We start from the raw sequence: 26428 nt of genomic DNA, 5'->3' as shown, positions 1-26428 counted from the left end.
CCCCTGGAGCTACCAAGTCACGGCTGGAATGACTGACTAGCAGAGATGCAGTTGTGTGGATTCAAGTATTGTGCAGCTGTTGACTGGATCACCTTTAAGATGCCTTTTAATCTTGAGACCCCTATGGTCTAGTCTTACTTTCCTAGAAGGTCAGTGTTGGGGCCTTGCCAAACTTGTAGCAGTCAAATACGTTTAACTCACTAAGCAGGCAAGTGTTAGCAGCTATCCTTTCCTTCTTACTTTCGAATATTGGGAGGGGAGTATGTTCTGTTAACTGGACAACTGACCATCTGTGACCATTTTTAGTGAGAGCATCTGGCAGTAGCTGCCTGTTTAACAGAGAGTGATGTGTCTGGAGGGCAGTAGGTTAAGGGAATCCTATCTGTGTCTTGCATGGTGAATACTTGCTTTCACTGAGCTTTTGCACATTAAAGATACTTTAACTGGAGCTAGATTTGCTAAGTCGGCTTGGAAATAAAATTTAAATGCTTCTGTTTGCTGATTCAATGTCAATTTGAGTAACAAACTAGTGTCTCAAAATTTCATTTTCATACTAATCCCCTTTCTGATGCCTTTATACACCTTTTTTTTTTTACTTCTGATAATTAAGTTTTTAATTTAAAAAGTATATTATTGGGACATACTCTCCTTGGTAATACACACAGTTCTTTGTTTCTGGAAGAAAGAAAAAGACGAATGAACTTATGTATTTCAATTCATTTAACGAGCATTTTCAAATATTTTTCTGAGATGTAGTACTACATAAAAAGGTGTAACAGATGTAATCTCTGCTTAAAACAAGAAATATTAAAAGACATTAAATTGACGATTTTTCCAATATCTGCACAAATTTCTAATGAACTAAATTTAATTATACTTAGTAATGAAAGTTATTTTAGAACTTTTTACTCTAAAACCTCAAAGCTCAGTCCCTAGATGTACAGTTTTTTTAAAGTAGCTAAAAAGATTATTGTGTCTTTCATAGTATAAATATTGGCAGAGTGATGGAAATATTTTGATGTTAGCTTGTTTGATTTTAATGACTTTAAAATATAGTTTGATTTTAATTAAAACTGGTTTACTTTGGTGGTGGGGTTGGAAAAAAGCATTAGACTTGTGATTTAATACATTAGTGTGATTTGTTCTAAGTGGTAGTTTGAGACTTTGTATCTTTGTGGTGATTAATTTCACTTAGATTTTTTCCCCTAGGCACTTTCAATGTTTAGCTCAGTTGTAAGTAGGATTTTTAAATACTTGTTATATTCATCTCACAATAAACTAAAGCAAAATTAGTAACATACTTTTGTTCCCTGATAATTGATTGAAATGATTTGTTCCCCTTTTTTCATCTGTTTGTTTCAGAAATTGGCTTTAAATTCTGAAGTTAGCTTATAATTACAAAGGAACTGTTTTCACAAGCTGTCAAAAACTGTTCTGAATTATTAAGTCTTTATTTGAAAGGATGAAAAGGGGCAGATTTTTATGTAATACTGTTGTTTAACATTTAGGACACTGATGTTAGATCATCTTTAGCTTTTATTTTGCCAAAGAGCTTGAGCTTGTTAATTATTTTATTTGATTTTACAGTAAGCATGATTAGTGTGAGCATGAGATTTCACACCAATTATAAATGAATAATTAAAATAATAAACTATACAGCATTTTATTTATTTATTTGAGACGTAATCTCACTGTCACCCAGCCTGGAGTGCAGTGGTGCCATCTCGGCTCACTGCAACCTGTCTCCCAGGCTCAAGCAATCCTCCTACCTCAGCTGGGTCCTGAGTGGCTGGGACCACAGGCGTGCGCCACCACGCCGGGCTAATTTTTGGTATTTTTGGTAGAGACGGGGTTTCATTCTGTTGCCCAGGCTGGTCTTGAACTCCTGGACTCAAGCCATCCACCTGCCTCAGCCTCCCAAAGTGCCAGGATGGTAGGTGTGAGCCGCCATGCCCAGCCTGATTCATTCTGTCCAGCAGTCACAAAATAAATTCATTTAATTGAACTCAGTAAACTTCTTTAAAGAAATACTTTTGGAAACTGCTTGCCTTGTGGGCTAGAAAACTAACTGACGAAAGTGTGAGTACAAATTATAACAAAAGAGAATATTTAAAAACTATCGTATTTCACTTTCTTCACTATTAAATATTTTTAAGTTACCCTTTCTTTTGTTATGTTTAATATATTATTATGCCAAAATATGTTGAAACTTCAACATAGACTTTTTTCTTAATTTGCCAATAGAGCAGAAATTTTTGAATATTTCATTCTCTGCAGTATCTTAAAATGCCAAATATGATTGATACTCAACTCAAATTTTAGAACTTAATATTTGAAAAATTTAGAAACCAATACTTCAAAAGAAATGAAGTATTTACTTCTAAAAAAAATCCTGCTACTAAAAAAATACTATTACATTAAGATAGTAAAAAAGAAAAGATTTTTCATTTGCCAATTTGCAGCTACCTCTAATGAAAAATAAAGTGTTTACAGATTGATGAAACTGTAAGAGCTATATAAGAATTACAGTGCATTATCTGTTTTTTTTTTTTTTTCTTAAATTATTTGTCGTAAATGAAAGGTCTCCTGCCATTGTAAAATACTTTGGGTGTTCTCTGGATGAATTAGAGGTATATCTCCTCTTTACATTTGGAAAAATATTGCCCAGATTTTAAGTCTCAACACTTCTGGGAAACCTCTTGTGACTCTAAATGGTGTCAGTCATTCCATGGTACATCATTTACAATGTTCTATTATAGAAACCACATGGCACTGACGGTAAAAGAAAAACATCAGTCAAATAAGTTTCTTGTCTGTTGCCTGGATTTGACTTCAAATTTCACAACTTATTAACAAATGAAATCCTAGCTGTTCACCTAATCTTTTAGGTAGGGATAATGGTATTGATTTTAGAATGTTAGGGAGATTAAATGAAATAATGCACATAAAAGTTAGCATAGTGCCTGGGAAAACTGCATTATAAGTTCTCAACAAATGTTAGTTGTTTTTGTTGTTAAAATTGTTATCCTCCCAGGAGAGCAATGTATTTAGAAATTGAGCCTGTATTTAAAAATTGTGTCTGTATGTTTTAAAAATATTTTTTCAAGTAATTTACCATGATCACTAGATTTGAAAGCTAATGCGTCTTGAGCTTTAAAATGTATATGGATTACCCACAGATCTTGTTAAAACACAGATTCTAATATTCAGTAGGTTTGGGTGGGGCCTGAAATTTTTGCATTTCTGCCCACTTTGAGAAGTAAAGATCTAGACCAGGAATAAGCAAACTTTTTCTGTAATGGGACAGATCGTAAATATTTTAGGCTTTATGGGTGTTTTGGACCCAATGTTTGTGTCTTCCCAAAATGTATATTTTAAAGCCTTCACCCTAAATGTGACTCTGTTTGGAGATAGAGCCTATGAAAAGATAGATGCTGAAGGTTAAATGAGGTCATAAGAGTGAGGTTCTAATCCAGTAAGGCTGATGCCCTTATAAGAAGAAGAAGAAATGCCCAGAGCATGCTCTCTACCATGTGAGGATGTAGCAAAAGCCCAGTCACCTGTGAGCCGGGAAGAAAGCCCTCACCAGAAACTGAATCCTGCCAGAGTGTGATGCTGGAGTTCCCAGCCTCTAGAACTGAGGAAACAAATTTCAGTTGTTTAAACCACTCAGTCTGGCATTTTGTTATGACAGCCCTGAGCAAGACTGATACAGTGGGCCATATAGTCTCTTTCACAAGTATTCAACTCTGCTACTGCAGCACAGAAGCAGCCTTGGAAAATACATAAATGCATGCATGTGGTTATGCTCCAATAAAACTTCATTTGTGGACACTGAAGTATGAATTTCATATAATTTTGACGTGTCACAAAATAGTATTCTTTAAAACATTTTATTCAGGCTGGGTACAGTGAAATATAATCTCATGTCTGTAATCCCAGCACTCTGGGAGGCCGATGTGGGTGGATCACTTGAAGTCAGGAGTTTGGGACCAGCCTGGCTAGCCTGGCCAACATGGCATAACCCTGTCTCTACTAAAAATACAAAAATTAGCCGGGGGTGGTGGTGCATGCCTGTAATCCTAGCTACTCAGGAGGCTGAAGCAGGAGAATTGCTTCAACCTGGAAGCTAGAGGTTGCAGTGAACCAAGATTCTGCCACTGCACTCCAACCTGGGTGACAGAGCAAGACTTTGTCTCAAAAAAAAAAAAAGAAAAAATTTTTTTAACCACTGAAAGATTAAAAAAAAAAAAAACAAAAAAAACCTTTTTAGCTGACAGGTATATCAAGAGCACCAGGCCACATTACTAGAATTTAGAAGTTCTAGATTTAGACTGTGTATAGTTCTTGCTTCTCAAAGTGCAGTCCCAGGACCAGCAGCATAATCTGGGAGTTTACTGAAATGCTGAATTTCAGGCCTCCCCTCTATCTATTGTTTTAACACGTAAGGGTAAGGAATTTTGACATTAGGTTTATGCCTTTCTTCTTCTTTTTCTTTTTTTTGAGACAGAGTCTCGCTCTGTCACCCAGGCTGGAGTGCAGGGGCGCGATCTCGGCTCACTGCAAGCTCCACCTCCCTGGTTCACACCATTCTCCTCCCTCGGCCTCCCAAGTAGCTGGGACTACAGGCACCGGCCACCACGCAGGCTAATTTTTTGTATTTTTTTTAGTGGAGATGACGTTTCACCGTGTTAGCCAGGATGGTCTCGATCTCCTGACCTCGTGATCCACCCGCCTCGGCCTCCCAAAGTGCTGGGATTACAGGCGTGAGCCACTGCGCCTGGCCAACATGCAGTTTTAACTTCTGTGATACGTCACCTAACTCCTCGTGAAGACATTGTCTAGGAGATAATGTCAGTTAGAAATGCAAAATTTCTGCCAGGTGCAGTGGCTCACACGTATAATCCCAGCACTTAGAGAGGCTGAGGCAGGAGAATTGCCTGAATCAAGGAGTTTGAGACCAGCCTGGGCAAGATGGTGAGACTCCATCTCTACAAAAAATCAAAAAGTTAGCTGGGCATGGTGGTACATGCCTGTGATCCCAGATACACAGGAGGTTGAGGCAGGAGAATCAGCTGAGTCCAGGAGGTCGAGGTAGCAGCGAGCCATTTGCATCACTGCACTCCAGCCATGGTGAAGTAGGGCCTGTGAGACCCTGTCTCAAAAACAAACAAAAAAAAATTTCTAAATTTAGATTAGAACTTTACGTACATATGTATGACTATATAAAGCTACTTAGTTTACAAACAAGTTGTTATCTGTACCAATTTAATTACCATATCTTGTTTTATAAATTTTTATATTAAAGTTTATTCATCTTGGCCAGGCGCAGTGGCTCACGCCTGTAATCCCAGCACTTTGGGAGATCGAGGCGGGTGGATCACCTGAGGTCGGGAGTTCAAGACCAGCTTGGCCAACATGGTGAAACCCCATCTCTACTAAAAATAACAAAAATTAGCTGGGCGTTGTGGCAGACACCTATAATCCCAGCTATATGGAAGGCTGGGGCAGGAGAATCGCTTGAACCTGGGGGGCGGAGGTTGCAGTAAGCTGAGATTGCGCCATTGCACCCCAGCCTGGGCAACGAGTGAAACTCCATCTCAAAAAACAAAAACAAAAACACCTCCCACCCCGCCAAAACAAAACAAGACAAAAAAACTGTACACAAATGTATAGCTCTATTCACAGTTGCCAAAACCTGAAAACAACCTAAATGTCCTTCATCAGGTGAACAGATAAACTGCAGTACATCTGTACAATTGGAATACTCCTCAGCAGTAAAAAGCAGCAAACTATATTGCTGCTTGCAACAATTCATGGATGAATATCAATGTCATTATGCTGAGTGAAAGAGGCCAGTCTTAAAAGGTTACATTCTGTATGACTTCATTCATATGACACTCTTGAAAAGTGAAAACTGGGGCCAGGTGCAGTAGCTCACGCCTGTAATCCCAGCACTTTGGGAGGCCGAGGCGGGTGGATCACCTGAGGTCAGGAGCTCGAGACCAGTCTGGCCAACGTGGTGAAACCCTGTCTCTACTAAAAATACAAAAATTAGCCAGACGTGGTGGCTGGTACCTGTAATCCCAGCTGCTTCGGAGGCTGAGGCGGGAGAATCACTTGAACCTGGGAGGCAGAGGTTGCAGTGAGCTGAGATAGCGCCATTGCACTCCAGCCAGGGCAACGAGAGCGAAACTTTGTCTCCCTACCAAAAAAAAAAAAAGAAAAGAAAAGATGGAAAACGTATCAGTGATTGCCATGACTAGAGATGGGGGCAAGACTTGACTACACGAAGGCAGCATTGGGAGCTTCTGGATGTGATGAAATTGTTCTTTTTCTGGTTGTGGTGGTTGCAGAAATCTATACATGCGTTAAATAGGACCATACAACAACAACAAAAATAAGTTTCAGTATATGTTAATTTTTAAATTAAATCAGAAGACTGAGGGTTTTGAGATCAGATGACCAGGGTTTGATCCCAGCTCTCCAGCCCGCTAAGACTGTGATATTGGTAAAGTCACTTGACCTCCATGAACCTCAGTTTCTCCTAGACATTTAGATTGCTCAGGATTGAATGTAGAACCCACAGGACAGCGGGTTGGTACATAGTAAGTGCTCGATAACTGTTATCTGTAAATATGATTAAGGAGAGGAAGAAATTAGAATGATGCTTAAGTGTTCTAAGGGATGGTACTTTTACTCTGGAGTAGGGCTTTGAGAAGTAAGACCAGGATTGGGGAAGTAGGAGATACTGAGTTCACTTTTTATCATATTGGGTTGGAAAGGTTGGTGTCCCAGTGGAGATGTCTATAGCAGCTTAATATATGGGTTTAGATTTCAGAAGAACTGAGATGGCGAATTATTGTTGTGCAGTTGGAAGTTAAGTCTGTGGACCAGCGTCTCTCTGGCTTAGCTACTTTGAAAGAGATTATCAGACTTCAGCAGAAGAAACTAGTCAGCATAATTGTGAAACAAAAGAAGTTAGGTCACTTTTAGGAAAGAGAGGCATATCCAGCAAATCTCATTGAAATTTCTCTTACTATGTGAAACTTCAAACTTTCTCATTTTCTGAGATGTATCTCTCAGTGGAGTCCCTTTTAAAAAAAAATCTTCAAAGACTTTCAGAAACTGAAATTTTTCAATATAGGTAAGGTCATATTTATATGTGATCTTAGTTTGGTGAAATTCTAAACATCTATCAGTCTCTCTTACTTGCCACAAAAGATGGAGGAATTTTTAATAAGAAAGAAGCAAAGGAGATCAGGCTGCCATATTATGGGAAAAATATAGATGACATTCCAAATGGAACCTCCTAGCAAGTTACAGAAGATATTTTGCTTTCTTCAATATTTGAAAACCTTTTTTAAACTTTTTTTTTGTAACCCAGTTGAATGCAGTAGCACAAACTATCATGATTTGCATTTCTGCCTCTTAAATTCAGAGGATTGCAAACAATATTAAAATAACAGTGCTGCCGGAGAGAAGAAATACCTTTTACTTGCGTGCTGTGTATAGCAGTGTATCAGAGTTGTATTAATGCCACCCTATGAGATGTTATAGATCACTTTATTTCATACTTAAATCATTTTGGAGAAAGAAGAAAGACAGCAATATATGCCTATACTTCTTAAACATTTTTTTCACCATCTTTAAGAAAGTTCAACTTTCCAAAAAATTTCAAACACAAATAATTGGGAAAAGAATTTTGAGTTTTTTTTCCTGGACCTTTATATCCTTAGCATTGAATAGTTATCACCTTTCGAAATGCTCTAAAACATGGAGGGCTCTGTGAAAAACATCTGTCTTGTTATTGAGGTGAAAAATGTGAACAAAATGATACACAGCTACTCCTCTTTTTTTTTTTTTTAAGTATTAAGCAAGATTTCTTTTTCTTCCAAGAATAAAACTGATGCATTTGCCTAAATGGTCATCACTTTTGTAGGCCTGAAGTTGTTTTACTGCTTTAGCAGCTGTGTGGCAAGCTTTCTAGCAGACAATGGTGGTGGGGAGGTGGGATCAGTTGCATCTGGCTTCTCTTTGTAGAATGACTGAAAAGTTGATATTTAGTGGTTTTCTTGAGAAAGCAGTTCATGTGGAGAAGAGTAACTTTTTTTAGTACCTAAATTAGCTTGCTGTGATTCATATGCATGCATTTTGTCTTCCTGCTTAAAAAAGAAAAGAAAGAGTAAAGAAAATTGTCTACCCTGAAACTGCATAGCACAGATAACCCTTTGACCTTTGGCACTGGGTAAAGATTTACAGTACTTGTGGAGCCTCACTCCACATGCCTGACTGAAAAGAACCCTAAATAAAGTAAGGCCCCTGTGGAGATGGAGAAAATAAGCAGGATATGAGGAAGTTCCATTATTTCATGTGGCTGTGTTGCTGCTGTTGTTGTTTTAATCAGTTTATAAGGTGAAATACCAGTTGGGATGCATTTCCAGTTTAGGGGGTCCGATGTCAGTTAAGTTTGTGCTCTGATTTTGGAAGAGTTGGAGTCGAGGTTACCCTGGGCATAGTGTCCTTCTCTGTCTCTCTTGTACTCAGGGAATATCCCCTCCTGCTGGCTCCCTCAAATTAAATTCCCATTTGAAATATCTGGATAGTTGTTTGTCTGTTTGTTTGTTTTAGGGAAAGCAAGACAAAACCTTTTTTTTGTTTGAAGAAATGGGCATGATCAAAAGATAGGGGAAAGTGGAATCCCCTATCACTTTATGTGTTAAATTAAATTTTTCTTCAGATTTAAAACATAAAAAACACATGAGAACAAAATTAGTTCCCCATTGTCTCCAGAAAAATTGGTTTAACTCTGCTCCAAATGGCGCATCAAATTGAGACCTTTGAAGAAATTTTCGTAATTTATTACATAACGATACTCAGATACTCAGATCTATTTAATACTTAATAGCTTTCTACTATGTATCTCTTTTAAAATAAGTCAATATTTTTATAGCACTTTGTATTTATATCTTGAGGTTTAGCTACTAAATTTATTTTACTGCTTTATTTTTTTGTTTCCTTTTTATATGTGCTAATAAAACCTCAAATAAAAGTTTCCTTGGTCTTAGGAAGATGCATCTAGGTAGAGACAGGCTGTTGATTGTCTGGTAGGCCCAAACTTTCAAATGGTATTTTTACAAATGAAGAAAAAGCTTCAGTAAACTTTTCATTCTCCTATTTTTAAGAGTCTGTAAGCATGGTAAAATGCTTGACGGGAATTGCAAAGAGCATCTCCTTAGAGAAGGAAGAACTCTTGTAGAAAATTAAATCAATACTGTCCATTAATCATACTGCACGTCAGCCCTCAGACCACTCTGGAAGTTTCTGGTGAATGTAAAGAATCTTTAGATGTGTGAGGTCCTTAAAGATCTAAGTTAAACGAGAGGGGTTTTCTTTTTTTTAAAAGAAACCCATTAGCACATGAAAGAAACTTCAGGGTGGACAGAAAAAAAACATTTGCTGCATAGCAGTAATTACACTTGTGGTTTTTGTTTTGTTTTTGGTTTAAAGTTTCTTAAAAAAACTTAACGCACATGAAATTTTAAGCCTTGTACTAACTATGCAGTCCAAGGACTGAAGGGGAGCTGCAGGACCACGCTTCCTGGAGGAAAATATTTTATCTTGGTCTTTAAAAATATTTTGTATGTTTATTTTATAACATACATAATATATTAAGGCGGTCACACATATGTATGTTATAAATAAATGAAGATATATATAATGAGTATGTGTGTTAGAAAAAATTACTTATGGATAGTGAAACTTAAAAATTTGGAAACCACTGTTCTAAAAAATTGAATCAGGTGTTTTGTTTTGTTTTGTTTTGTTTTGTTTTTGAGACTTTTTTTTGAAGTCTGTCTCTGTTGCCCAGGCTGGAGTGCAATGGCATGATCTCGGCTCACTGCAACCTCCATTTTCTGGGTTCAAGTGATTCTCCTGCCTCAGCCTCCCAAGTAGCTGGGACTTCAGGCGTGCACCACTACGCCCAGCTAATTTTGTGTTTTTAGTAGAGACGGGGTTTCACCGTGTTGCCCAGGCTGGTCTACTGAGCTCAGGCAGTCCGTCCGCCTCGGCCTCCCAAAGTGCTAGGATTACAGGCGTGAACCACTGCGCCCGGCCTAATCAGGTTAAGTGATTACCCATTAGGAAGCTTTATAGTCTAGAGAAGGAAATAGACATTAATAAAATCACCACATAATTTATAATTACCAATTTTAGTGTTATGAGGTAAAAGCATTTGGAGTGAAGGGGCTGTGTAATAGTGGACACTATAGTTTGAGGGTGGGGGTCTGGGTAGGTTTTCCTGAGAAGCTGGTACTGAATTTGAGATCTGAAAGATAATAGGAGTTAACTAGGCAAAGGATCCTGATGGGATAGTGAAAGAAGGGATGGTGTAAACTAAAGCGATAGAATGATCATCAAAGCAGGCTAAATACGAGTACTTATTTCTGTCTAAATAACCTGATTTATCAGTTGGTTTGAATAAGCTAGTGTGATCCCACGAGGGTTCCCTAACATCATCCTGACATAGTTTATTGAAACTGTACATATTTTCCTATTCCATTTTGAGATGTTTAGAAGCTTGAAAGACTTGAAATCCCAGCAAATGTGGGCTGCTGTAAGAGGAGGCCCCTTGAATTAGCCTTGATAGCTGACTCCATTGACCTTTATCTTGATTTATCATAGGAACTAGAGCAGCTGCCTCAGCTGAGTGTTACAGTGACATCTTAGCTTTCCCAGCCTGCCAGGATGTTAATAACTTATGAAACCTGTGCACACAGTAGGCAGCACATTTTGCCTGATTATCACAATTGATTCATCTCTTCCTTGGTAGGTTGTGTAAATACATCTAACTGGGGTCATTATTTCAAATTTATATGTCTCCCATTTCCTTCTAAGAAAAATTTGAAGTGACTCAATACAGAAACACAAAACTTAAGAAAATAAAAAACAAATAGATGAGACAAGGCCCAGTATTAGGAATTTAGGGTTAAACACACCCATACTAAAAGCGAGAATGTAAATTAATATACAACTTTTCTAGGGGTAATTGGGCAGTACCAAAAATGGGAGGGGACTTACAATATGCATACTCTTTTACCAGAAATTCCATTAATAGAGACCTATCATAAGAAAATAATAATGTGGGGTGGGCACGTTGGCTCACGCCTGTAATCCCAGTGCTTTGGGAAGCTGAGGTGGGCGGATCGTGAGGTCAGAAGTTCAAGACCAGCCTGGCCAACATAGTGAAGCCCCATCTCTACTAAAAATACAAAAATTAGCTGGGCATTGTGGTGCATGCACCTGCAGTCCCAGCTACTCGGGAGGCTGAGGCCAGAGAATCGCTTGAACCTGGGAGGCAGAGGTTGCCATGAGCCAAGATCATGCCACTACACTCCAACTTAGGCGACAGAGCAAGACTTCATCTCAAAAAAAAAAAAAAAAATAAAAACAATAATGCGCATGCACAAACATTTAACTGCAAGAGTGTTTACTGTAATATACAGGGTCACTTATAATTGGAAAAGCTGGAGAAATCCTATATATTTAGCTACTGAGGTTTAACAAGCTATGGTACATTCATACAATTTGAATATAGTCTACAGCCATACCATCCTGAATGCTCCTGATGTCATCTGAATAAATATGGGCATTGAAAGGAATGTTTTAAAAGAGAAATGACAGAAATTGTTCACAGTGTATTAAATTTTAAAAGCAGGTTATAAAACACATAAATATTGAATATGTGTATGTGTGGATAGTAAAGGGAATGAAAAGAAAACAGCAACCTAATGTTCACAGTGTTTATCTCCGTGTGATGGTATTAAGAACCTTTTATTTTTATTTCCTTTTTTTGGCTTGTCTGAATTTTATAAATGTTTCATAACTGTATTTGATCATAATTTTTTAAAAAGTAATTTTAAATTGAATATACCTAGATGAAGAGATTGGGACAAAGATAAATAAAGACTGGAAAATCAATAAAACTAGGATTATGTTCTTTATTGCATGCCATATGGTCTTCTACTATTGCTAGAAATGGCCTATAAGTTGAGTTACAAACTTCCTTGCAGTCAAAACAAACTACAGTTAGCTATGGGACACAGGATATTTTAATTATCAGAAGAAGTTTGTAGTATACTAATTAAAATCCCAGATACATTACCTCCAGAAAAACGCTGTATGTTGAAATAGTTGAAGAATCTCTATGGAACATGTATTGAAATCATTTTAACTTATGCTTGATAATATAATAAGGAAAGGTGATTCCTGTTGTATCTAGGATCACTTAACAAGTTACAGAGTTTTGGTTGACCTAGAGATATTAGTGGAGGAAACAAAAAATTTTTTCTTAACCTTCACCTTTCTCCATCTGAATGGCCAAGTATGATGATTTTTAGTGTGTTCCCCTTTCTTGAATAGCTACACGTCCACTCTTTTTATAAAATGACCTTTAGTCTCAGAAGAAAAATCATGGCAATGGGCCTCAATTCTGACCCCATAAAACAATAGAAACTATGTTTAAAGCCTCCAAAAACCTTAAGAAGTAAGGAGACACACTTTTAAAAGGCCTATTTTTCTGTGCATATCTCTATTCTGAGAAATTACAGGGATTATTTTAATTATAGTAATTCTGTGTCCCAAGAGGGCTCAATTGTGTACTTATATGGCCTCATTCTTGGTATACTGTATTCCAGTGCTGTGTACATTTTACAAATTGACATTCTAGTATGATTCATTGGGAATTTAAAAAGAAATCTGCATTTGCATACTTTATATTCAAAGTCCCAGATAGTTCTAGAAATCTTACTAGAAGTCTGACAGCTTGCTGGTATCTCTCCTTTTTATTGTCCTCAGTGTCAAACAAGTGATCAATATAAACATTTGTATATAGATAGATGGATATAACTTGATATAGACAAAAAGAGATAAAATTGGCCACTAAGACAATTATACTGCTCTGGCCAGGCTCATGCCTGTAATCCCAGCACTTTGGGAAGCCGAGATGGGCAGATCATGAGGTCAGGAGATCGAGACCATCCTGGCTAACAGGGTGAAACCCTGTCTCTGCTAAAAATACAAAAATATTAGCCGGGCATGGTGGCGGGAGCCTGTAGTCCCAGCTACTTGGGAGGCTGAGGCAAGAGAATGGCATGAACCCGGGAGGCAGAGCTTGCTGTGAGCTGAGATCACACCACTGCACTCCAGCCTGGGCAACAGAGCGAGACTCCATCTCAAAAAAGAAAAAATTACACTGCTCTGGGTTAGGAAAGCTTTCGAAGTCATGTTTCTCTTCAACAAGCAACCTAACAGATTATAGATTATAGATTTTTTATTTTCCTTTATAAAGTACCCTAAATTAAAGTCATAATTTAACCTTTGTAGTATTCTTGTCAAAAATGTTTAGCCCGAATCTAATAATGAAACCATCAGATAAGTCCGGATTGTGAGACATTCCACAAAACAGCTCAACTGGAAATGCCATCCTTGGAGAAGACAGGAAAAGAGCAGGAGACAGTTCTAGATGGAGACACGATGTGGAGCGTGTAATCCTGGATTCTTGTGGGGAAAAGCAGTTATAAAGAACATTATTGGACAATTTTGGAAATTTAAATACAGACTATATATTAGATAAATGCTGCCATTGTTAAATTTGTTGGGTATAATAATACTGTGTTTATGTTGGAGAACATCCCTTTTTAGGGGGAAAATGTCACAGTATTTAGGTGTGATGTGAAGTGTCATGATTCAATAAAAGGAAAGATGTGTATAAGTACACACACAAATAAAAGAATAAGAAATAAAGCAAATACATTAAAATGTCTATAACTAATTTTAAAGGTTTAAAAATGCCCTATACTCTTGTACTGACAATTTTTAGTCTGTAGTATCTCCAAATTAGATAATGGTTTTACAATGATTAGGCACTGAAAGGTTAAAACAACAGCACTTCTGAAGTAATTGCTTATAAAAAAATTCTCTAGGAATGTGGGGATATTTAAAAGTTGTATCAGTCAGTATATACTATAAGTTTGCCTCTTAAGAAATTAAGGCACAGAACATCAGTTTCTTATACTGTCCAGAGCCCGCCTGTTCATACTGTCCAAAGTTTATACTGTCTAAAGTTCATACTGTCCAAAGTTCTGTCTTATTCTTACTGTCCAAAGCCCACTTGAGGAACTAAAGGCTGTTTCTGTAACTGAGTGCATAATATAAAAATATTCTGAACTGAAATTATTTCCTTAAACAACTGAATAACTCATTCATGAAATGTTTGTAAACTGATATTTATAATAATATATTTCAGATTGAATATAAGAAACCTAGATCTGTTGAATGTTTTATTTATCAGAAAATCTTTTTGGTTTAATTCTATATGCTTAATTTGTTTGAGGTTCTGTGTCATACGTGTTGAAAACCATTTTAAGATATGTTGAATACCTTTCAGTACCCCTAAGCATCTTCAGTGTCTTTTAATAACTAAAAAATTTCTGGTTGAATAGACTGTTTATAGCCAGTTAACACATTAATAATATGCAGCTGCTTGGATCTAAGAACTCCCAGAATTCTTTTATTTGCTAACATTAAAATCTATTGCAGTGAGTTTACATAAGTTGTTGTAACATACTGTTTCTTGTGAGTTTTAAAGAAGGCATAAATAAATAATCATGGTTTTATCACTGTGATTGATGAAGCTGATATTTACCAGCTTGCATTTCCCACTTGAGAAGAATTTAAGATTGGTTTCAAGCTATCTGCATCTTTCTCATTTTGTAAGCTTGTTTTTCACTGCTGAGGGTTGAGATTTGAAGGGATGGTTATCAAACTACAGATGTTTTTGCAATGAAACTGTGCACCTCTGACCAAGTCACTGTGGTTCAGGAGATGATAGATGATATTTTCATGTTGCTTCACATAAGGGTCAAAATGGCATGGCAAGCCCACGACAGTGAAACGGAAAAATATTAGTCCTGGGAGGAAATTTATTTCATAGCTTCAGGGGAAGTTTGGTTGTCATGAATAGGCTCTCTCTGTCAGTCTATAAAAATATTGTTTGTAAGGCAATGATGTATGTGAGACAGACCGTGTATGTGAGTTGGCAGACAGAGCAGCTACTTAAACAAATGCTAAGCCAAGTACAGTAGCATGAGTCAAGTGTTCTACTTCGGATGCTTTTAGTGTAACAATTGTTTTTGATAGAAATGTCAACATAATCAAATTTATTTCGTTTTCTGATGTAACAACTTTAAACTTCCTTTGTAAATTTTATACCTTAATTATCCCAGGATACGGCACACACACCGCTATTCTAACACACTTTGTTTTAGAATTATAAATTTCGTACTTATAATCAATGATCACTCCATTTTACTCGCTTTTAAGTTATATGGGTAGGTATATGTGGACATAGCCTTAATAATATGGTTCATATACAACTACTATAAATTCTGGGACAGTTAAGCCACTGTCCTTTTGAAGTGTTCTTTTCTTTTTCTCTTCCCTAACCAAAGGAGATATCAACCCTCACCATATTTCCATTAATTGGTAGTGCAGTGGAGAGACTCATCTTACCAAATGGGGCCAGTGAGGTTCCTTTCTTCCACAGTGATTCACAAAAGGAAAAGTCTTCCATTAGAGAAGTACGTAGAAGATCAAAAACCATGTTTGTGGGACCTTCCAATCTCACTTTCGTATTAGTTTTTCAGTGTTTGAATGTAAATCAGATTCACTTATAGCAAAGTTCAGGTAGAAATCTTCAACTCTAAATATTTCTTATCTAGACATCCTAAGGTAATACATTTGTCAAAAAATAAAAAATGTTTTTAAAAGAATTCTTAAAAGCCTGATGGACAATTAAAAATGAAATTACATGATCAAAAAAGGAATAACAGGATCAAAACATTAGTGAACACAACATAACTGGGAAAGCCTTATGCTTCTGAAGTTTACAAAACAATCCCAGTCATTTGGGGGAGGTTTTAAACATAGAAATTATCTGGCCGGGCGCAGTGGCTGACGCCTATAATCCCAGCACTTTGGGAGGCCAAGGCGGGCAGATCACCTGAGGTCAGGAGTTCGAGACCAGCCTGGCTAACAGGGCAAAACCCCGTCTCTACTAAAAGTACAAAAATTAGCTGGGCTTGGTGGGACATACCTGTAATCCCAGCTACTCAGGAGGCTGAGGCAGGAGAATCACTTGAACTCAGGAGGCAGAGGTTGCAGTGAGCCGAGATCGCACCATTGCACTCCAGCCTGGGCAACAAAGAGCGAAACTCCATCTCAGAAAAAAAAAAAAAATAGAGATGATCAATAGAATATACTTATTTTGGTAGGAAACTGATTCTCAAAGGACACGTACAAAGAACTTTCCTCTAAATTATTCTAAACTCAGTAGGAGAGGGGATGTTTTTACTGGGAGTGAGAGGTGTTATTTGTCTTAAGACCCTATGGGGGGTGGGAGCAAAACAAAAGAGTGTATCATTTCAGGTTTAGACAAGTACTCTACTGGTCAGCTTCCATGAAAGCTGTATATAGAATACACAGGGAAAGTTTGAGAAGTGAAGGACTGACCCCTCCAACTGCCGTTCTGTCTATTTTATACTCAAATCTTCTATATATTATCATACAACAAATTTATAACATTTTGACATAGTCATCATTAAAGAGAATTCCTTTAAATTTATAATGCAAACAAAGTGAAAAATGTTTCTGATTAACAATCCCTTTTAGAAATTCAGTTTATAAATGGAGAATGAATTTTTAATCTAGGCTTAAAGTTTACATTCTTTTAGCTAAAAACCTGTTTTTAAATCAGCATACTAGTACCTTCATGTAAGATATTATTTTAATCATCATGAATTAACGTTTTCCATTCTAACACAAGTTTGACGATATGAGACAAAGAATTCTGTCTTAGAGATCTGCTCCCCTCATCTCGGTGTGATTTCAATTGGAGAAACACTGTAGTCTTACATTTGGAAAACTTGAAGGCAGATCGCATTGTGCAAATGTGATTTGTGTTTTTGTTACTGTGCTTACACATAGCATTTTATCGTAGCGTTTCACTCGGCTCCCTTTCCCACCCATCCCCCTTAGCGTTTTTCCTGCTCCTCTGCTGCTGGGCCAGACTTGAGCTGGCCCCAGATTCTATGTCAGAGGCCATGACCCAGGTGTCAGAGCAGGCCGTACCGCTGGCCTCTTCTCTGAATAATTATATGGGGGGTATTGTGTCGAAGGGACAGGCTTGGGGGCAGTGCAGTCACCCTGGCTAGCCAGACCAAGGAGCTCTCCAGTTGGACTGCAGGGGAACAATGGGCCTGAAAAGGCTCACACAAAACCTTGTAGCACAAAAGATTAAATTAAAAATGGACATTTGGCTAGACACTAGGTTTCATCCTTCAGACTTTCACCTTTCTTACTTATTCTGATCATTTCCTACCTACTTATTCTGATCATTCCTACAGGCATATCCTGACGTTATATCAGGATATACATTAGGCATATCCTGACGTTATATCAGCATATTTTCTGATTGCTACCTACTTTTGCATATATATTCTAATTCGACGATTTTTAATGCTTTGAAGCTGTGTTAATTGTGACACTTTGTTGCTACTATAGCAAAGCTTTTCTATAGCAGCATTTTAAGTAAACAATTTAAAGTTGTACATAGTCATTTTCAAATAATGCTTTTTTATTTTCTTTATGCATTTTATTAGGCCACCCCAGCATGTTCCTGTGTGTAAATTGAAAAGTGGCAGAGGGCATTCCTAAAGTAGATGTAATTGCTTTATCTTCCTTTGGTCGTAGGAGGATTTTTTCCCCCTACTTGAGAATTTCCATAGAAGGATGGGAAATAAAACTCTCTAAGTCTTCACCAGAGCTGAATTTTAGAAATAGTGTTGGAGGTGGAGTCACTCCTTTGGGGGAAAAGTTTTCTCATGTTCTTGACCTCAGGTTTTCTCTTAATTTTATCTAACCCCGACCTGCTTGCTCTGACCTGGCTCTTTTCAAGGCTTCTGGAGCCTCAGAAACAAACATCACCTGAAAGCAACAAAGACCTAGTTTTCATGACCCAAATATTATCTCTTATTGTTGATCCACAGCCCAGTACTTTGAAATGATTGTTTTTTCTTATGCATTTTCCAGGGAACAAACCTGTTAGTATTACAACAAAGAGTCCATAAAGTTTGAATTTGATGTCCATCGGTTTTACTATCTTAGTTCATCTTCAATCAGGCAGTACTTACTCTTCATGGTATTGGGGGGAAGGTATGGTATAGAAGCTTCCTACTCAGCGAGCTTTTTAGCTTTTGCCTTGGGTCTTGAAGTGTAAGAGTAAAGCAATGATCAAAAGGCAGCAGGATTGGAATTCTTGAATGTGTTCTCCTTAAAGTAAAATTAATTTACTACCTAATGTTTATATATCTGATTATTCTGCTTTTGTTCTACTGGACATTTGCGTAGGTTGAATGTATGTATTCATATCTCCCATTTATTCAGGGCCTGTTTCAGAGATAACTTAACCAAGAAGTTGTGGGGGCGGGGGGAAAGGTTTCAAGCCACTTTGTAGGAGTGGATGCCATTCTTTGGAAGGTACTCTTTTACACATACTCTTACTATTTGCTATCTGATTTCTCAAACATTAGTGATATAGGGCCCCTGTTTTACAAAATAGGCCCAAAAGCACAGACTTGGAACTGAAGGACAACCCTCTGCCAAGCATGTCCTCTTCCATTTCTGTTGGTTGACCTGAGCTGGAAACTTTGACATGTTCTTTTCCTTTCTTTTTTTTGAGACTGAGTCTCACTCTGTCACCCAGGCTGGAGTGCAGTGGTGGGATCACAGCTCACTACAACCTCTGCCTCCTGGGCTCAAGCAATCCTCCTACCTAAGCATACCAAGTAGCTGGGACTATAGGAATGCACTATCATGCCTAGCTAATTTCTGTATTTTTTTGTAGGGACGGGGGCTTTGCTGTGTTGCCCGGGTTGGTCTTGAACTCCTGAGCTCAAGCCATCTGCCACCCTTGGCCTCCCAAAGTGCTGGGATTACAAGCATGAGCCACCAAGCTCAGCCACTTGGTACTTTCTTACTCCTTAGTCTCTTCTCTCAACAGTTCCGTTTAGTCATCTGCCTTCCATGTATATTTAATAAAATCCACAATGGCTCTCAAAGCTCTGTGTGATCTGTCCCCAGCCTCACTTTTCTGTGTGACCCTCCCCCATAAAATACCCTTTACTGCTGCAAATCTGAATTCCTCCCTGTGACTTCTCTCAGGGAGAATGTGCTCCTCTCTCCACACCTTTGCTTATACTCTTCCCTTGGCCTAGATCTCTTCTTCCCCATGCTTCTTGTAGGGTCAAGTTCTGCTCAAATGCCACCTCCTCTGTGAAGCCCTGCCCACTCTCCAAGTAAGTGGTAATCGTTCTCTCTTGTGAATGCCCTTAGAGTTTAACACATCTCTTTTGCAGCGGTTATTCCTATCTTAGATGGTACTTATATTTACCCTTTTTTGTCTTAGCTCCCCAATAGGTTGTTATCTAAAGAAATTTGAGAACACTGACAAACGTGTCAGCTTTCTAATCGTACAGATGAGAAAACTGAACTCCACCAGACTGAGCAACTTTCATAGCCACACAGCGTGTTAATCTAAGATTTATATCCAAATCTCCAAATTCCCAAACCAGCTTTCTCCCTTAAATTTAGTCATTTAGCACTAAAAGACACCTATGATGTTTTTCTAAACATTTTACAAATATAAACTCATTTAATCCACATTTTATAGATGACGAAACTTGATTCAAACCCAAAACCCAAGTAGTGTGGTTATGGAGTCTGTTGTTCAATTACTACACCACCCTGCACTTGTACATGAGAGGGAGCAGGGATTAGGAATCATAGGATGCTAATAGCAATTATATTATTACTATTTATTTATTTATTTATTTATTTATTTATTTATTTATTGAGACTGAGTCTCGCTCTGTCTCCCAGGCCGGAGTGCAGTGACCCAATCTCAGCTCACTTCAACTTCCACCTCCCAGTTTGAAGCGATTCTTGTGCCTCAGCCACCCGAGTAGCTGGAATTACTTTCTTTGTGTGCTCACCACCACACGTGGCTAATTTTTGTATTTTTAGTAGAGATGGAGTTTCACCATGTTAGCTAGGCTGGTCTCTAACTCATGGCCTCAACTGATCCACCCGCCTTGGCCCCCCAAAGTGCTAGGATTACAGGTGTGAGCCACCGTGCCCCACTACTATTGATATTTTTATTAGTATATTACTATTGTTGTTGTTGTTGTACTCAAGCCCTCTTTTAAAGCACTTCATGGAATTAAATTATTTTCCCTCCCCAACATCTCATGAGATGGATGCTGTTATCATTGTCATACCCATTTTACAGGTGATTGTAACCAAGGTACAGAGAGAAAAAATAACTTCTCCAAGTTTCATAGTAATGACCAAGCTAGTGTTGGAATTCCAGTCAGCCTGGGTTTAATATCCCAGCTCTTAACCACTATGCTAGGCTGTCTCTTAGCTTCTTAGTAGCACTGAGTCATTAGGAATGTTGTCTTCTATTTGGCTCAGCATCCACTCACTGTAGAGGACATGGAAGCAAAACTGATACAGAGGGGTTTTTTTTGTTTTTGTTTTTTTTCTTTTTTTTTTTGAGACGGAGTCTTGCTCAGTCTGGAGTGCAGTGGCGTGATCTCGGGTCTCTGCAACCTCCGCCTCCTGGGTTCAAGTGATTCTTCTGCGTTGGCCTCCCGTGTAGCTGGGACTGTAGGCACGTATCACCACGCCCGGCTAATTTTTGTATTTTTAGTAGAGACGGGGTTTCACCATATTGGCCAGGCTGGTCTCAAACTCCTGACGTCATAATCCGCCCGCCTTGGCCTCCCAAAGTGCTGGGATTACAGGTGTGAGCCACCGTGCCCGGCCAATACAGAGGTTTTTGAAGTTTATATGAAATATTTATAGGTATGGCAAATACTTATCCAAGATAGCCCTTCTTTTTACTGCTATTTCATCAGGACTTTCATTTGGTGAAACTTAAGCAATTGCCATAGTTCATGCATAACTGTTTTGATTTGTTCATTCATCAGATACTCAGATACTAGAATTCAGCTGTTTTCTGAATATCTCCCAACCTCAGCACCTGGATGAGTGGGTCATCACTCTCCTAACAGGTACACAGATGCCATCTAGTGATGGAGAACAGAAATGCAAGTTTTTCAAGTAAAATGCCGGACGAAGGCATGGGGTTTTTTGTTGTGTGGTGTTTAGAAATATGTTTCAGTGTAGGTTACTTAAGGTGTTGCACAGAGATACAGTTAATGCATTATTATTGTTAGATCATATGCAGTTAGAATGGAATTAAGCAAGTTGTTGACGAGTACAACTTTAAAAGATTTTGGCATTAGAGAGTCTCATTTTATAGGCCTTTGTCTTGTTCTGAGTCTGGTCATTGAGGATAAGAAACACCTCATTGTAAAAATGGGATATAATTATTAATAACAGATTGAATTAATTTTTGGGTCCATGTGCTTGCTGTTTCTAATACTTGCCCTCAAATTCTTCCAGATTTCCCTTTAATGAAATGACTTACTGTTCTTCCACTACAAAAGGAATTTATTGTTTTCCAAAGCATTTATCATCATTAGGGCCATTTCTTTGTTGGCAGATGAGAGATTATTAGATCAATATGGAAGATGTGGGTAAAGGTAGATATACCACTGGAAGGAATATATACCATGTGACATGGTTGCCAAAGCAGCAAGCATTCTTAGTGGCCACAAACACAAAACACAGTTGTTTCAATAGTATACGCAAGCCAACACACACTTGGGAACCTTTGTCTGCCTGCTCTATACACCAGAGAATATTAGGGAGAACAGAGAGTGGTTAAACTGAGCTTCAGTATTTGCCAATTGCTAATTTGCGGATATTCTGTTCTCTAGATCTTGTTTGTATGAACGAACAGAGATCTTTGATATTCATAAGCTTTCACAAAGTTGATTCCAAAATGTGTTAAGTTTGCCATATTTTTGATACTACCTTTTCTCCCAGGCACCTTTACTCACATGGCAACAATATAGTATTTATTGTGTGTTTATTAATTATAGGAACTCTACAAAGTACTTCATAGGCATGATTTCATTTAATATTCTTAAAATCCCTATCAGAGACGTCCTGTTACATTTCCATCTTCCAAGTCAAAATAAATGAGGCTTAGAAAAGAAAGAAACTTGCTCAAGTCTATACAACTGTTAGGGGTAAATAATACCTACAGATAGAATATTCATTTATCAGCCTGTTTGGTAGATTGAAATTTAAAGTAAAATTTGCGTCTTTCTAGTCCTTGAGTCTCTCATGCAGTGCCTGACTTTTGGTGGGCTCTTGATAAATGTTTATTGATACCTGTGAACTCTTTCTTAGCCAGCCAGACTTCTGGCTCTGACTCTTCCTTTTTTATTTTGAGACGGAGTTTCACTCTTGTCATCCAGACTGGAGTGCAATGGCGTGATCTCGGCTCATGCAACAGCTGCCTCCTGGGTTCAAGCGATTCTTCTGCCTCAGCTTCCCAAGTAGCTAGGATTACAGGCGCCCACCACCACGCCCGGCTATTCCTTTTTCTTTGAGTGGAGATGGGGTTTCACCATGTTGGCCAAGCTGGTCTCAAGTGATCCACCTGCCTCGGCCTCCCAAAATGCTGGGATTACAGGCATGAGCCACCATGTCCAGCCTGACTCTTCTTTATGTGACTAATAATCCAAGTAGAAGAGCTGGTGATGAGAATGAATCAGGTTGGAAGGAGGGTTAGACCAGTCCTAGGGACAGCAGGGAGAAGATGGAGAGTACAGCCATAGCAGTGTGTCAGGAAGATGTTCATTTTTGGGCCAAAGGGTGACTCCCTAATAAAAGAAAAGTACATTTGGCTAGGGACAAAATGTAAATGTAAGCTGACAGTTCAGAGCTGTACTGTTATGAATCAAATTTGTGTTAGATTAATTTGAGCTTTCTTTCCTAACCCTTCATCTTTATATATTGCTAAATCTTTAAGCAAGTTTAACCCTAAATTCAAATATTACCCATTTGAGCCATCACCCCAGAACCATTAAGAATTGAGGAGTGACAGCCGGGTGCAGTGGCTCACGCCTGTAATCCCAGCACTTTGGGAGGACGAGGCGGGTGGATCACGAGGTCAGGAGATCGAGACCATCCTTGTTAACACGGTGAAACCCCGTCTCTACTAAAAATACAAAAAATTGGCCGGGCGTGGTGGCGGGCGCCTGTAGTCCTAGCTACTTGGGAGGCTGAGGCAGGAGAATGGCGTGAACCCTGTAGGCGGAGCTTGCAGTGAGCTGAGATCGTGCCACTGCACTCCATCCTGGGCGACAGAGCAAGACTCCGTCCTAAAAAAAAAAAAAGAGAATTGAGGAGTGAGGCTGGGCACAGTGGCTCATGCCTGTAATCCGGGCACTTTGGGAGGCCAAGGCGGGTGAATCACAAGGTCAGAAGATTGAGACCATCCTGGCCAACATGGTGAAACCCCGTCTGTACTAAAAAAAAAAAAAAAAAAAACTAGCTGGGCATGGTGGTGCATGCCTGTACTCCCAGCTACTTAGGAGGCTGGGGCAGGGGAATTGCTTGAATGCGGGAGGAGGAGGTTGCGGTGAGCTGGGATCGCACCACTGCACTGCAGCCTGGCAACAGAGCAAGACTCTGTCTCAAAAAAATAAAAAATAATAAATAATAAATTGAGGAGTGATTTTTATGCACCTTGTGTTGAGTTTTGAACAAACTAGAACCAACTTCTCCCTGTCTTCCCTTTCTCCTCCTTCCCTTTCTGGGCTTTGAGGAGGCCTGCCCTGTTTGTGGCTGTTCTTTCTAACTCTGCTGTTTTCCCCCAAAAACCACATAGCCTAAGTCCGCTGAGTCTCATGTAACCAAGCACTACATACGTGGCAGTGCTTAACACAAGAAGGGCTGAAACAGGCCTTGGGACTGGTTCCCTGTGGCATTTTACAGTGTTGGCCCTGGTCTCTGGTTTGTCCCATAGGCGTTGGAGGGTCTTTGCAGAACTATGAAGTTTTAGGACTTGACTTTTGCTGCTTATGCTGAGGTTCATTCTTTGTGTATTTACGTGTATTTAACATATTGGTCCTAAACTCTGTTTTTTACCCTATATCCTTAGTTCTGTTAATTCTGTAGCTGTTCTATGTTTTCTTTTTTAGCTGATCACTCTTACTGCCTGGTGATGTTTATCTTAACACTATTTGAGGGCTCTAGTCCCTCCTTCCACTCTTTTTTTTTTTTTTTTTGAGACGGAGTTTCGCTCTGTCGCCCAGGCTGGAGTGCAGTGGCGCGATCTCGACTCACTGCAAGCTCCGCCTCCCGGGTTCACGCCATTCTCCTGCCTCAGCCTCCCGTGTAGCTGGGACTACAGGCACGCGCCACCATGCCCGGCTAATTTTTGTATTTTTAGTAGAGACGGGGTTTCACCGTGTTAGCCAGGATGGTCTCGATCTCCTGACCTCGTGATCCGCCCGTCTCGGCCTCCCAAAGTGCTGGGATTACAGGCGTGAGCCACCGCGCCCGGCCCCTTCCACTCTTAAATTTACAAACATGAAGTCAAATTTCTGAAAAATTAATGAACAAGAATGAACCAGGATATTCCAGGGTCTCTGGATTAATAAACCAAAATAATATTATGACTAGATTTTGAGATCAAAGGCAAATTTGTTAAAGCTAAAGAGGAAGGTGTGGTAAATCCACATTGTCCGCTGCTCAGCTTTGCCCCTAACCTGGTACTTTATAGTTTTAAAAATGGTTCACAGGACAACATAAAGAGTAGTTCACTTATGAAAAATGTAAGTGGGGTTTCTCACTCCTTTATTTTTTCCATATAGTATGTCCTATGTCCTATAATCTTTTTTCTAGTAAAATAATTTCCAGAATTTATTCTGGGAGTGTGTGTGTATTTTAAACTTTTCTATTTGGATAGAAAGGATCTTGTACGCCTGATATAACATGGGAAGGAACCTGGTCCTTGAGACAGTTACTCCCTGATGATTTCCACATAGGAGACGGGGAACTGCTCTTCCTTTCATGGGGCTTATGTGAGTCTGTCCTGAGTGGGCAGTAGCCAAGTGCTTGGGGCATTAAAGGAGCAACTCGGTTCTCTGATCTCTTTGGGACACATAAGCTGTTTCTGTCTGACCAACAGAAAAGTTTAATTCTGGGTTTAAAATTTAGTATAAGAAGTTTATTTTTTTAAAAAGGAAGAAGGGAAAACTTGAAGAATCAATTTTAGGGCTAACAAATGGAACCATTCCAGGAATGTATTCATGCAGTATTGATTGAAGTTGTTTGCATGGTAGAAAAAAGATTATCTCTCCACCTACACTCATAACCCTCATCAAAATGAGCTTTCTCTGTGAAATAGCTGTATTCATATCTGGCCCCCTGTGGAGAACATGATCTACTTTGAGGACACATCTGTCCTATCCTTCCTTTTCTGTATCTCCTGTATTCTGGCACAATACCTTTATATTCTGGAGGCTTTCCTAAAGACCCTCTTCTAATTAAGTAGAGACAGAATGAAGAAGTATTTTTCAGCTGGGCGTGCTGGCTCACACCTGTAATCCCAGCACTTTGTGAGGCCAAGGTAGGTGGATTGCTTGAGGCTAGGAGTTCAAAACCAGCCTGACCAACGTGGGGAAATTAGCCAGGTGTGGTGGTGTGTGCCTGCAGTCCCAGCTACTTGGGGGGCTAAGGTAGGAGGATTACCTGAGCCCAGGTAAGTGAAGGCTGCAATGAGCCATGATTGCACCACTGTTGTCCAGCCTGGGCAGCAGAGTGAGACCCAGTGTCCAAAAAGAAAAAAAAAATCATTATTATTAGGAGACAAACTTCTTTTGACAGAGGCACATGTATTTGTGTAAATTTAGAGGTCTTGTACTTTGTCACGGAAATAACAAGTTCTTGGTTCAGCTTCATGTATATTGGACATTCTCCTTAACACCTTTGAAGGCCTGCTGCAGTGGCTCATTCCTGTAATCCCAGCACTTCGGGAGGCCAAGGCGGGCAGATAGCTTGAGTGCAGGAGTTGGACACCAGCCTGGGCAATATGTTGAGTCCTTGTCTCTACAAAAAATGCCAGGTGTGGTGGTGTGCACCTGTAGTCTCAGCTACTCGAGAGGCTGAGGTGGGAAGATCATCTGAGCTCAGGAGTTTGAGGCTGCAGTGAGCTATAACTGCATCACTGCACTCCAGCCTGGGCAACAGAGTAAGACCCTCTCTCAGAAAACAAACAAAAGAAACATTGGTATCACAGCTTACACATAAAATGGATATAACATCTACCTTATGGTGTTTTCTGATAGTCAAATAAGAGGATGTATCCAAAAGACATTTTCTA

General features: G+C 39.0%; 1 protein-coding gene across 5 annotated transcripts in view, besides 2 other annotated features; it reads left to right on the top strand.

The window, feature by feature from the left end:
• Positions 1-26428, top strand: part of PRTG (protogenin) — a 131609-nt gene that overhangs the window by 73390 nt on the left and 31791 nt on the right. Inside the window, exon 12 of one of the 5 annotated variants that reach the window (XM_011521460.3) lies at positions 13409-14687. The exons of 3 other annotated variants lie outside the window; for them this stretch is intronic. In XM_011521460.3, the coding sequence (XP_011519762.1) occupies positions 13409-13419 (11 nt within the window). In that variant the 3' untranslated portion in view covers positions 13420-14687. Of the gene's footprint in view, positions 1-13386; positions 14688-26428 lie in introns of those variants that run through there. One more of the 5 variants, XM_011521459.3, reaches the window with a different exon arrangement.
• Positions 4158-4658: an enhancer, noted in NCBI's record as "H3K4me1 hESC enhancer chr15:55957303-55957803 (GRCh37/hg19 assembly coordinates)". NCBI's record gives its function as "activates a minimal SCP1, AML or CMV promoter by ChIP-STARR-seq in primed H9 embryonic stem cells {active_cell/tissue: H9 hESC(primed)}" and the evidence as "EXISTENCE:reporter gene assay evidence [ECO:0000049][PMID:30033119]".
• Positions 7705-8609: an enhancer, noted in NCBI's record as "NANOG hESC enhancer chr15:55953352-55954256 (GRCh37/hg19 assembly coordinates)". NCBI's record gives its function as "activates a minimal SCP1, AML or CMV promoter by ChIP-STARR-seq in naive H9 embryonic stem cells {active_cell/tissue: H9 hESC(naive)}" and the evidence as "EXISTENCE:reporter gene assay evidence [ECO:0000049][PMID:30033119]".

This window comes from Homo sapiens, chromosome 15, assembly GCF_000001405.40.
Source record: "Homo sapiens chromosome 15, GRCh38.p14 Primary Assembly".
NCBI classification, from domain to species: domain Eukaryota; kingdom Metazoa; phylum Chordata; class Mammalia; order Primates; family Hominidae; genus Homo; species Homo sapiens.
Note: the sequence above shows the minus strand (reverse complement) of the source record. Positions and strands in the feature narration are given on the sequence as shown.